Source organism: Homo sapiens, chromosome 15, assembly GCF_000001405.40.
Source record: "Homo sapiens chromosome 15, GRCh38.p14 Primary Assembly".
In the NCBI taxonomy this organism is placed as follows: Eukaryota; Metazoa; Chordata; class Mammalia; order Primates; family Hominidae; genus Homo; species Homo sapiens.
The window spans coordinates 91,947,772-91,961,726 of record NC_000015.10 but is presented as its reverse complement, the minus strand read 5'-3'; the positions used below and the strand labels follow the sequence as shown (position 1 = coordinate 91,961,726).

The window sequence follows — 13,955 nt, the reverse complement described above, 5'->3', positions numbered from 1 at the left end:
AGGCGACTAAGAGTAAAGGTGGCAGATGAGTAGGGGAAGGGTATTCAGGGAAGGCCTCTCTGATGGGAAGACCCACAAGCAGGGGCCTGAATGAAGCCAGAGAGCAAGTGCAAAGGCCCTGAGGTAGGATTTGCAATACACTGTAGGGGAAAATACACTGAAAAGTGCCTATGAGTGTGAGATATGACTCATCTCTGGAATCCCACACACCTTGGACTGAGATGTTTTTAATCAACCTCATTGCCTGACATATGCCCTGTTTTCCTTTCCTCAGAGTAGAACCAGAGAGCTGTTCTTCTGCCCCACCATTCTTCCCTCTCCTTCAAGACAACACGCCACTATTGCCTATGCCCTTCAGGCAAAATCAGGAAAATCAAGCCTTCCTTTGGGAAAATGGGAAGAGAAAGCCTCAAAAGTTCAAACACAAGTACTTGCCAAGGCAGTCCTGACTATGCCTTTGTTATCAAATCCTTGCCAGCAGGCAGCCAAAAATTAATGAATCTTCTACAAATGCTTCATAATTCTACTGGGATAATAGATAATGCAATTAGGAGATAAATTGACTAGAATGAGATAAACTAAGTATTCAAAAATCACGTTTCAGACAAGTATGCTTAAAGTCAAGGGTCCTCTCGGAGCAGAATGGCAAATTTCATTCAGAAAAGGGCCACTCAAGGGAGAGAGTAACGTCCTGAGAGCGGAGTAAAATAAAGCCTCATGGTTGAGCAGACTATGGTCTGACAGAGGCATCCGGAACATCAGGCTACAGGTGGAGCATTTCTAATCCAAAAATCTGATATCCAAAATGCTCCAAAATACAAATCCTTTTGAGTGCTGACATGACACTCAAAGGAAATGCTCATTGGAACATTTCAGATTTTGGATTTTTGGATTTGGGGTGCTCAACTTGTAAGTGACTATATATAATGCAAATATTCAAAATTCTGAAAAAATCCAAAATCTGAAACACTTCTCATCCCAAGCATTTTGGATAAGAGACAACCTGTAGGATGAGCAAAGAAGGGGTACTGCAGGTGGCAAAATCAAGTGAATAACCAGCTAGTCATATGAAATAGTGAGAAAAGAATAAATTACTCCTGTATCAAAAGAATGTCTGCTGAGATAAGTAAAATAGCTCTCTCAAAATATGTTCTTAATTTGAAAGGAACGAGTTTAGGAGCTACAGGACGATCTGGGACACCACAGAGAGAAGGCATCCCGGAACTGGCTTGGATGTATCCAATAAGAGGTTGCCTCGTCCACACCAAATGTGTATACAAACCTTCAGAGCAGAATTATTCTTCACAGTGAAAAAGTGGTAACAACCCAAATGTCCATCAATGGTTGAATGAACAAAATGTGGTGTCTCCATACCCATTACAACATGGATGGACCTTACAAACATCATGGTGGTGAAAGAAGGCAGTCATAAAAGGCCACATAAGGCCGGGCGTGGTGGCTCACGCCTGTAATCTCAGCACTCTGGGAGGCCGAGGTGGGCAGATCACGAGGTCAGGAGATCGAGAGCATCCTGGCTAACATCGTGAAACTCCGTCTCTACTAACAATACAAAAAGTTAGCCGAGCATGGTGGCACGCGCCTATAGTCCCAGCTACTCGGGAGGCTAAGGCAGGAGAATCTTTTGAACCCAGGAGGCGGAGGTTGCAGTGAGCCGAGATTGTGCCACTGCATTCCAGCCTGGATGACAGAGTGAGACTCCATCTCAAAACAAACAAAAAAAGGCCACATATTGTATGATTCTGTTTACGTGAAATGTTAAGAATGGGCAAATCAAATAGACACAGAAAGTAAATTAGTGTTTGGCAGCACCTGCTAGGGAGGGCATAATGAAAGTGATTGCTAGTGAGTAAGAGGTTCCATTTTAGGGGTGATGAAAATGTTTTAAAATTGAATTGTGCTAATGGTTGCACAACTCTATGAATACACTAAACAACTGAACTGTGTATATTTTTTATACTTTTCTTTTTTTTTTTTTTTTTTTTGAGATGGAGTCTCACTCTGTTGCCCAGGCTGGAGTGCAGTGGCGTGATCTCAGCTCACTGCAACCTCCTCCTCCCAGGTTCAAGCGATTCTCCTGCCTCAGCTTCCTGGGATTACAGGTGCCCACCACCACACCCAGCGAATTTTTTTGTATTTTTAGGAGAGATGGGGTTTCACCATGCTGGCCAGGCTTGTCTCAAATTCCCGACCTCAGGCGATCTGCCCGCCTCAGCTTCCCAAAGTGCTGGGATTACAGGTGTGAGCCACCGTGCCCAGCCTATAATTTTCTTTTTTAAAATTTCAATCGTTTTTGGAGTACCAGTGGTTTTTCATTACATGAACGAGTTCTTTAGTGGTCAGTTCTGAGATTTTGGTGCACCCATCACCCGAGCAGTGTTCACTGTACCAATATGTTGTCTTTTATCCCTCACCCGCCTTCCAACCTCCCCAACCCCCAAGTCCCCAGAGTCCATTATATCTCTCTATATGCCTTTGTGTCCTCATAGCTTAGCTCCCTCCCACTCATAAGTGAGAACGTATGGTATTTGGTTTTCCACTCCTGAGCTACTTCCCTTAGAATAACAGCCTCCAGCTCCATCCAAGTTGCTGCAAAATACATTATTTCGTTCCTTTTTATGGTTGAGTAGTATTCCGTGGTGTATATATGCCACATTTTCTTTATCCACTCCTTGGTTGAGGGGCAGTTAGGTTGGTTCCATATCCTTGCAGTTGTAAGCTGTGCTGCTATAAACATGTGTGTGCATGTGTCTTTTTCATATAATGACTTCTTTTCCTTTGGGTAGATACCAAGCAGTGGGATTGCTGGATGGAATGGTAGTTCTCCTTTTAGTTCTTTAAGGAATCTCAATACTGTTTTCCATAGTGGCTGTACTAACTTACATTCCCGCTAGCAGTGGGAAAGTGTCCCCTTTTCACCACATCCAAGCCAACATTTATTGTTTTTTGACTTTTTAATTATGGCCATTCTTGCAGAAGTAAGGTGGTATCTATATCATTGTGGTTTTAATTTCACTGGGGCAAATTTTATAGTATATGAATTTTATCTTGGTAAAGCTGTTTTTTAAGAAGGCTTTCCTCTGTTTGCCTAACACCAAATTAATGTAGTATAAGGGCTAATAAATACTGAGCACCCAAACCTCCATTCCTCCAACAGCCCTCAAGGTGAGGCATATGCTCTCCATTCTGCAAGTGAAGAAATGAAGGATCAGACAGGAAGTTAACTTGCCCAGCATTACCCGACTGGGAAATGGGAGAGGCGGCATTCAAACGCGGGGCTGCCCAAATCCAGTGCCCATCTTTGCTCCATGACATCAAATGCAGAAATGCTGAGTGAGTGTGGGATCCAGACACATGGTAGATGAATACAAAATGAAGTACGGTTGATCCTGGAATAACACAGGCGACAGGGTCACCCTCCACCCCAACACACACAGTAAAACACTGACTATAAATTTTGACTCCCCAAAAACTTAACTACTAATAGTGATAATTGGAAGCCTCACCAATAACATAAACAGTCAATTAATACATAGACTAGTATCAACATATATTCTATGCATTCATGACATACCTAAATTTCTTAATTTTTTCAATATTCCTAGGCTACATAATTCATCTGCAAGTTTTCTCAAATTGTTGCAAATCTCCAAACAATTTTTCCAATATATTTATTGAAAAAAATCTGCATAGAGGCGGGTCCATGCAGTTCAAACCCATGTTGTTCATGGATCAAATGTATATGGAGACTCAGTCGTTCCCTTTCATTTATATGACAAAGACCTGGTGAGTACCTGTTATGTGCCAGGCCATGCTTTATGCACTGGGAATATAGCACTGAACTGAATGAAGTCCTCGTCTTTATGATGCTTACATTTTGGTGTAGTGGGACAGAAACTATATATCTAATTAATGAAGCATGTATTAATACTACATCTGGTGGGGCTAAGTTCTATGGAGAAAAATAAAGCTGAGTATGGGGGACAGAGTACAGGCATGACAACAGGGATACAACTTTACATAAGGCCAATAGGAAGGGCCTTTCTGATAAGGTAGTATCTGAGCAAAGCCCTGAACCAAATGAAGGAGAGCCAGGAGGATATCTGGGGAAAGTGAACCAGGTAGAGGGAACAGCAAAATGTAAAGGCCCTGAGGTGGGAACTGAGCTTGATCCATGTGAGGAACAACAGAGCCAGTGTGGCTGCAGCTGAGAAAGCAAGAAGATGCCACCAGGAAAGAAGGTGGGGAAGGCAGACTGACCCCATCACAGAGGGCCTCATGGGCCACAGGAAGATGAGCTTTCACTCTGAGTGAAGCACCGGAGGCTTTGATTGCAGGTGTGATGGGAATGGATTTGCCCTGTACTTTTGAGACCACATTGGCGGCTGAAATCTACAGAAGAGACAGAAGGGTTTTCAGTTAGAAGTCAAGGAGGCAGCCAGGTCCGGTGGTTCATGCCTGTCATCCTAGCCAGCGGATCATATGAAGTCAGGGGTTTGAGACCAGCCTGGCAAACACAGTAAAACCCCGTCTCTACTAAAAAAAAAAATATATATATATATTATAATATATAGTATATATATTATATATATTATATATATATATATTATATATATTATATATACTATATAGTATATATATAATATATAGTATATATTATATATATACTATATATTATATATTATATATACTATATATTATATATATAATATATACTATATATTATATATACTATATATATATATATAAATAAATTAGCCAGGCATGGTGGCGCGCGCCTGTAGTCCCAACCTTGGGAGGCTGAGGCAGAAGATTCGCTTGAACCCAGGAGGTGGAGGCTGCAGTGAGCTGAGATCACATCACTGCACTCCAGCCTGGGTGACAGAGCGAGAATCCATCGCAAAAAAAAGAAAAAAAAAAAAAAAAGAAGGCAAGGCAAGGCCACAGCAAGTCCAGGGAACAGAGATCATGGGGGCTTGGACAAGGAGGGGCACAAAAGTTGACTGGACAGGGAAACTTTTAAATTCTCAAATGGTGTCGGGGGTTTTAGGCTGTTTCTCCCCAGGGCCTAGCCTCAGCAAGGAGGCAGAAAGGTTCTTTCTCTAAGATGATACAGAAGCCAAATTCCCCTCTGCTTGCTCAGACAAGGCTAAAGATCTCTCAATGCCGGAGGCCATTTCCCATTGCCAGATGAGCCATTTATCCCAAGTTGTTTTTTCATCTTTTGCAAACTGCTTCTCTTTGAAAAATTCCGCTTACTCCACTCACAAATAAATATGCCTGCAGATCTGCAAAGCTGGAGGGAAAAACCCACAGAGCGGGCCAACTGAGGCTGCCCAGAAGTGGTAAAAAGTAGCACAACTGAGAGTCACGCTTTATCCCCAACACTCACAGCCCATTTCGCATCAAATCCTCCTCAGTCATTTGCTCACAAACATGATCACTGGTTCTGGGTCTCAGGCCTGCTGCTGAGAAGCCACCAGGGAATTCTGTAGAACGCCAGAAACCAACCAGCCTCAGCAGGAAGTCAGAGATAAGGGAATTACAATAGCCAGACCTTAGCTCATTTTCCTTTTCCAAAAGCTGGCCTCTGACCCCAGTGCACGCCCAGGGGATGGGTCTTCTGATCACCTCCTTGAGAATCACTCCCTCCTCATCTTGTCCTTGCTGGGAACTAACAGCCCCAGCCCTGGGCTTGGAATGTACACATCCCAAGAGGCTTTTGCTTTTAATAACAGTAATAATAGTAAAAACAATACCTTCTGTTGGCATATTCACCAGGGACCAGGATGGTTTTAGAACCTGTCTAGGCATTATGAACTCACACCTCTGCCCTAAAGAAAGCTGGTAATTACAGATTCCAAACACGCTAATACGTGGCAGTCACTGCTGTTTGTTTTGCTTATTGGTCCAATTACTTGTTTCTTTATTAATGGTATATGCACAAGACATGATGGCCATGAAGAGGGAATACAAAGATGATTTCATGTGTCAAATTTCTAATGAGCTCCTACTATGTGTTCAGCCTAGGGATACAAATACATGGTCCACAGCTGGAAAGAAAATGACACAGAATGGGCTGGGTGCAGTGGCTCGTGCCTGTAATCCCAGCACTTTGGTAGGCTGAGGCGGTGGATTACCTGAGGTCAGGAGTTCAAGACCAGCCTGGCCAACATAGTGAAACCCCATCTCTACCAAAAATACAAAACTTGGCCGGGTGGGGCGGCACACGCCTGTAGTCCCAGCTACTAGAGAGGCTGAGACAGGAGAACTGGTTGAACCCGGGAGGTGGAGGTTGTAGTGAGCTGAAACCACGCCATTGCACTCTAGCCTGGGTGACAGAGCGAGACTCTGTTTCAAAAAAAAAAAAAGAAAAAGAAAATGACATAGAATGAAAAGCAGCCCAGCATAGTGGTTAAGAATCTAGATGGAAGCCTGTTGGCCTGGGTTCAAATCCCAACCCTACCACATCTTGGCTATGTGGCCTTGTGTGCAGTGTTTAACTTCTCTGGGCTTCAGTTTCTTCACGTGGAAGCTGAGAACAACAACAGGACCAAGCCCACAGGGGTGCGGTGAAGACTGAAGGTGGGAATGTTTGTGGAGCACCTGCAACAGTGGCTCACAGTGTGAGGATGGGCTATTATTCTTATGAAAGGGATATATACAATAGGAGGCAGAGGACGACAAGGTGACCCTGGCAAGTGAGGGAAGCAGAGAAGGGAGACAACTGAGCATCTGATCAGAGCCCAAGGCCAAGAGGAGAACATGGCTCAGGGCACAGAGCCAAGAAGGGCCTAATTCCTAGGAATTAGGAGGGGTGGTGCTGTCCAGCCCTTGGGCAGTGGCAGAAAGCAGCGGGAGACCACGGGGGGCGGTTCAGGGTATGGTGTCTAGGCCAGTGATGGACTCCTTCCCCTCGGATCCTTGCTGTTGGAGAAGGAAGGAGGAAGCAGAGGGTGCTTCGCAGGTCAACCCCTCTCCCCATCTTTACCCCCCTCACTCATTGGGCTCTAACCACAGGGGCTCCACCCTGATAAAAATCATATATGGGCCACTTCCTGGACCTGCAACACTCTTCCCCGCCAACTTCCACTTCCTCTTCCCCACCAACTTCCACTTCCTCTTCCTTCTGCGCCTGGATTCACTTCTCAGGAAAGCCTGCGGGGCACCTGACCAGGTAGGCTGTTCATCACTCTCCCACACAGCCCTCTCCCAGTGGTGAGGTAAATATTTGCTTCTGCAACAATTTATTGAATGTTGGGCCCCTGGAAACTGCAGAGGGCAGGACTTCTGACTGCCTCACTCTGTGCAGTACCCGCCCGTCTCCGCCTGGCTGAGGCTCAGCACAGTGCCCGTCCTGCAGATGGCATTCAGGATCTGCCACTTCCATGGGTGGATGGTTTATCCTGAGAAACTCACAAAGGGCTCAGAGACAAGTGAGAACGTAGGGGCACCCGCACAGCTTCTAATCCAATGGAATTCTCAGTGCGTGGTTCAGAAACCCCTAGGGGTCTGTCTCTAACACCCTTGAGCAGAGAGGTCTAGGAGGTCAAAACTATCTTCACAGACTGTATGTGCCTTTCTCAATCTTTCCCTCATGAGTGGGGGTTTCTACATGCTCTGTGAAGACATCGCCCATGGCTAACAGAACACACACCTGTGTATCCTCAGTTTTAATTTCTAATACAGTAAATATCCATAGACATACCCCTATTTAAAAACAAGATCTGTGGAGTGCCTCAGTATCTGTAAGAGTCCTGAGAATGAAAAGTCTGAGAACCATTCACTGTTCCAATCAATCCATTCCCATCCTCCACCTCAGAAGGAAGATATAGTTCCAAAGACGAATCAACACAAGACACTGTTGGATGGAGACGGGTGTTCGGATACAGGAGCACGGCAATCACCCCAGAGTCACAGCAGTGTGGGAAGTGTTCCCACCCACACTGAGACCAGCCCTCAGAGCCTGGGATGCTCCCTCTGGAATCTCCTGCCAGCCCCACCCCCTCAAAGCAGAGGTAAACAGAGGTGGGAAATTCCCACTGCCAACCTCACTTTCCCCACTCCTGGGTGGCAGCCAACTGCCTCCATCATACCAGGCTTCGCGCAGTTCCCTTCCACGCCCTGTAGTTCTGTGAGTGCAGGCCCCAACATGAGCGGCTCCCCTCTGCCTGGCACACCCGGTCTGCCTGACAAACACCTACTCCTCCTGGCAGGCTCTCCCTTCCTGTGGGTAACTCTCCTAAGCCTCCCCAAGAGGCCTGACACCATTCCTCCCCCCACCGCATTCACCACCTCTGGTGGTTCATCTCTGCACTCTAGCCTCACTGCCTGTGTCTCCTGGGAGAACACAAGCTCCTCGAGGGCAGAGGCTGTACTTCACTCATCGCCCCAGCCATAGCATAGTTCCCTCCTGCAACACACCAAGAACACAAGTGTCTATTCAGTGAAGGTTAGAACAAACGAGTGAGCGAATGAGCGAGTCAGTGAATGATGCTTTCTAAGATGACAGTTTATCTTACGTTAGCCACTTTATATATAGATGTTTCCTCTGCAGGGATGACCTGGGCCTTGTTTCCAGGATTAAGGAAGCCTCCCTCCTAGTCTACTCTGAAGAATGAGAAATCCTTCTTTGAGCAGGTTATTTCCCGAGGCAGCTTCCACTGAGGTTGATGCCTATCTACTTCTTGGGATTCTTTGATCTAATTTTCAGAGCAACTTTGTGCCACCTTGTCCCTAAATCTGTGACTCACTCAGCTGCCTCTTCCTCAACCAAGGTGAAGGTACAGCTGAAGTCCCCTCACTACATTACATCCCCTCTTCCCTCCTGGACACAGCAGTGTGATGCGGTCAATGGGAATTAGATTTTGGAGATGGGGCAGAGTGGCACTAGGGGCAGGAGGAAATGTACGAATACCTGCTGAGAAGACAGAATCGATATGTGACAACTGTAATTCTCAGCACAGTAATTACACCATGTTTACAGGGCTCTGCAGAGTCACCCTATTGATTTCGGAAAAGTATATTTACTGCATCAGAAACACAGGTGCAATCCCTGATCTGCACTCCAGTCTTTCATTGATCTTGAACATCATAGCCAGATACAAGGTGCTTTAGCATGCAATCCTGCATCTTTGCCTCTGTGGTTTGGCTCAGCAATTCATTATCCATTTCTGTCTATCTTACCACACCCATTTTTACTCTCAAAAGGTGGCAAACAGAAACATTCATTTATTTACTCAAATCACCGGTTCCTACTTTATGCCAGGTGCTCACCCAGGTGCTGGTGATGCAAAGATACAACTGTTCTTTGGTAGAGTTTCAGAGCACTACCCTTTGTGGCTGACCAAGAGCATAATATTCTAGTGAAAGGTACTAGTTTGAATGTATACTTAAGGCAACCCACAGGATGACAGAAAACATTTGCAAATGACAGATCTGGCCTAGTATCCAGAAAATACAAAGACCTCTTACAACTCAACAGTTAAAAAACTAATAATTTAAAAACGGCAAAGGATGTGATGAGAACAGGCATTTATCAAAAAGATCATGTACAAATAGCCGATAAGCACATGAAATGATGCTTAACATCATTAGTCATTAGAAAAATGCAAATCAAAACCACTTCATACCCATTAGCATGCCTACCATCAGAGACAATAATAAGTGTTGGCGAGGCTGTGAAGAATCCACATTACTGGTGGAAATATAAAATGGTGCAGTCGCTTTGGAAGACAGTTTAGCAGTTCCTCAAAATGTTAAACCTAGAGTTACAACACGACACAGCAGTTCCAATTCTCGGTATATACAAAAGAGAATCAAAAATGCACGTTCGCACAGAAAATTATACACAAGGCCGGGTGCGGTGGCTCACGCCTATAATCCCAATACTTAGGGAGGCCGAGGCAGGCAGATCACTTGAGGTCAGGAGTTCAAGACCAACCTGGCCAACATGGTGAAACCCCGTCTCTACTAAAAACACAAAAATAAGCCAGGCGTGGTGGTGCAGGCCTTAATCCCTACTACTTGGGAGGCGGAGGTAGGAGAATTGCTTGAACCCAGGCAGCAGAGGTTGCAGTGAGCAGAGATTGTACCACTGCACTCCAGCCTGGATGACAAAGTGAGACTCTGTCTCAAAAAAAAAAAAAAAGAAAAGAAAAAAGAAAGAAAAACAAAGAAAATTATACACGAGTGATCGGAGGAGCCTTATTCATATTAGCCAAAAAGTGGAAATAACCAAATGTTCACTGACCGATGAATAAACAAAATCTGTTACAGCCATACAATGAATTATTATTAAGCCATAAAAAGGAATGCAGTACTACCAATAATGTGAATAAACCTTGAAAACATTATGCTAAGTGAAAGAATTGGACACAAAACACCACGTATTGCACTGATTCCATGTATATTAAATGTCCAGAAAAGGCAAATCCACAGACAGGAAGTGGATAAGCAGTTGCCAGAGGGTAAGGGAACAGGGGATGGGAGAGGATTGCTAATGGAGTTTCTTCTGGGGATGATGAAATGTTGTAGAATTAGATAATGGTGATGGTTGTACTGCCTTGTTAATATACTAAAAACCACAGGACTTTACAATTTAAAAGGGTGAATTTTGTGGTATGTGAATTCTATCTCAATAAAATCATGTACATTTAAGTCTGTTACCTCATTCTTACCTCAAAGCCACATCACCCCCAGGGAACTGTGGGAACTGACTTTACTAAGAGAATACACACAATAGCTTCAGCTCACCTGTCAAATGAAGTGAAAGCCAGAGAAATACTTTTTTTTTTTTCTTTCTTTCTCAGATTGGATATAAGCCACCTGTTGGTGGAGTAAAGGGTGGCTCCCTGGCTGTGGTTCCCAAGAAGTCTCTGTCATCAAATTACTAAAGGCAGAATTAGCATTGCACATACCATAAAATTAAGCATTGCCAAAGACTTTCAACAACACATCAGCCCTCACCCCAAAAAGCAATGACTTGGGACAAGAGCAATCAGACTGGTTGTGAAATACAGAACCAAATGAAGTCAGACAACATGTACATTAAATAAACAGCGGGAAGATGCAGTGCATGAGAAATTGAAGAGAAATTAGGTAAGAACTAGGAACCTCATTCTTAGGAGGCTAGAAAGACCGGATGACATTATGGAGCCTGCAGCAAAAAAACAAAGGATCACACACCCATGTGGGGTGCGCCTGCCATACTGCACAACGTTCCCCTGCAGGGGCTCATCTGCCCTTCCTAATAACCCACCGGGACCCTTGGGGATTAGAGACCCCATTTGGTCAAGGCCTGGGATCAATGGCCAGTGACAGGGCTGGGCTCCCCCTGCCTGCCCAGCCAGGGCCCCTGTCCCACGTGCAACACGACTGGCTGTCTTCACCCACCACTGCAGACTGATCTCTGCTTCCCCAGCCCCCTGCAATCCCCTCCACAATACACACACCCGAATCTCTGGCCACAGCAGGCAGCCCTGAGCATGCAGACTCCATACCATCAGGCCTCCCTACCTCATTCCAGCTGCTTCCTCTGCCTGTTACAACTTTCTTCCCCAGGGGCAGCTTCAATCTGCCTTTCTCCTAAAAACCTCCCTTGTCAGGACTAATTTTTCCTCCTCTACATTTCCACAGCAGGGCATTTATCTCTTCCGTATAGAATCCATCACAGTCTGCCTTCTTTTCGTTGTTGTTTTTTAGAGACAGGGTCTGGTTCTGTTGCTCAGGCTGGAGTGCAGTAGCACCATGAGGGCTCACTGCAACCTCAATCTCCCAGGCTCAGGTGATCCTCCTGCCTCAGCCTCCCGAGTAGCTGGAAACACAGGTGTGCAGCACCACGCTCAGCTTGCTTGCTTGCTTATTTATTTATTTATTAAAGCCGGGGTCTCACTATATTGTTCAGGCTGGTCTTGAACTCCAGGCCTCAAGCGATCCTCCTGCCTTGACCTCCCAAGTAGCTGGGACTACAAGCTCATCTGCCTTCTATATTAAAGGCAACCACCAACACACTTTCATAGGGCTTCACAGCTGCCCAGAACCACGCTGGCAATTCACCTACAGTTACTCTTCTTTTGGGGGGACAGAGTCTCACTCTGTCGCCCAGGCTGAAGTGCAGTGGCACGATCTCAACTCATTGCAAACTCCACCTCCCGGGTTGAAGTGTGTCTTGTGCCTCAGCCTCCGGAGTAGCTAGGATTACAGGTACATACCACCACGCTTGGCTAATTTTTATATTTTTAGTAGGGATGGGGTTTCGCCATGTTGACCAGGCTGGTCTCAAACTCCTGGCCTCAAGCGATTTGCCTGTCTCAGCCTCCCAAAGTGCTGGGATTACAGTATAGTTACTCTTTTACTCCTCACAACTGCCCTCCGCATGGGTACTACCCTTATCCCCACTAACAGATGAGAAACCTAGTGCCGGATCATGCAGCCAGGAAATGGTGGAGCCAGGATTTGAACCCAGGTAGACAGTCTGGTCCTATTGGTCACATCCTTCCCCCCAGCGCCAGTCTCTATGCCAATTTGGGTGTGTGTCAGAGTTATCTGTGTGCAGAAGCAGCTGCACACAGTCTAGCCTTTTTGATGCACCCACCCCAACCACACCTAGATACCTGCATGCAGAGGGTCAGCACTCAGTAAGGACATCAGAACTGCATAAATACTCAAGGATAACAATGACATCTGCCAGAGGGCAGGGAAGTTTACACCAGGGATAAAAATGGAGGGAATGATTCCCCCAAAAGGTGAGGTAAGCAGAAATAATAGTAAAAAAAAAAAAACCAAAGTATTGATTCCTAAATGGATGACAGGTTCCTCAGGTTATTAAAGGAATTGAGGATGGATGGTGCTCTGCAGGCTCTGAGACACTTGGCAAGGAGGCTGGCACATGCCACCCAGAATATCTTTGGGGTCATTAGTCAGGATACAGGACCCAAAGGACCCTGACTTCCAACTTTACATCCCAGACTGACTTTCCACTTCCTGTGCCATGGCTCTCCTATTCCTTGGACGGCCCTCTCTTCTCAGGGCAGGAAAACCCAGCCCTCATGTCTGTAAACACAGGGCACCAGAGAGTGGCCCATGCAGGCATCCCTGATTAATTGCCTGTACTGTTTTGAAAGTTTTTCAGCCTTCCTGCAGAGTCTCGTGCACATTCGGCCCTCTCCTGACTTGCACTTCCTTGGGAGAACACTTAGATTAGAAAATCCCCAAATTCCTAACCAATGACTGCTGCTTTCCACCCAGGTGGTGCTGTGTGCATGCCGGCACTCCTACAGAGCCTGTAGGCTTATCTGCAGGAATAGGATGCTGTGGCTGGCACCACACATGCGGCCACTTCTAAACTTGGCAACAGCTCGAGCTCTGGAAGCCCTTCTAGGACAGCTCAAATGCACCTCCCAGGAGCACTACGCAGGGTCACATTTGAGCCCACTGTGGAGGGACCAGCTGGTTGTATTCTCATGCGCCAAGCAGGAGTGGAAAAAGCTTCCCGGAGGTCGGCATTCATTAGCCGCATGGCACTGAAACAAAGGGCAGGTAACAAAGGGCCAGGGCTTCCACCCACTTTCTGGCTCAGACTTTTATTAGGGTGTGGAAAGCTGAGCAAGGAATGCAGAAGTCAATCTCTATTTTATCTCCATTCGTCTATCTGTCATCTGAATTCTGCTTCTGCTCCCACGGCCCTGCTGGAACACCTAGTTGGGAGGATAAACAATTCTCACATGGAACTGGAAAAGCCCCTGCTAACTGGGCTGCAGTCACTTTCGGTCACCTGCACGGGGGCCAAAGGGGAATTGCCAGCAGCTGTGTGTCAATAAGAGCCCCAGGATCCAAGACAGCACTCTGCAGTGTACAGACCGACCCAGGGTCCCAAAGTCACCTGGCTGCTAGGGCCAAGCAGGGGGTACTAACGAGGAAAGCAGTCTGGGAGGGCA

General features: G+C 46.0%; 1 protein-coding gene across 3 annotated transcripts in view, besides 1 other annotated feature; it reads right to left on the bottom strand.

Moving 5' to 3' along the window:
- Positions 1 to 13,955, bottom strand: part of SLCO3A1 (solute carrier organic anion transporter family member 3A1) — a 318,728-nt gene that overhangs the window by 210,709 nt on the left and 94,064 nt on the right. The gene's annotated exons all lie outside the window — the stretch shown is intronic.
- Positions 10,776 to 11,648: an enhancer, noted in NCBI's record as "H3K27ac-H3K4me1 hESC enhancer chr15:92493309-92494181 (GRCh37/hg19 assembly coordinates)". NCBI's record gives its function as "activates a minimal SCP1, AML or CMV promoter by ChIP-STARR-seq in primed H9 embryonic stem cells {active_cell/tissue: H9 hESC(primed)}" and the evidence as "EXISTENCE:reporter gene assay evidence [ECO:0000049][PMID:30033119]".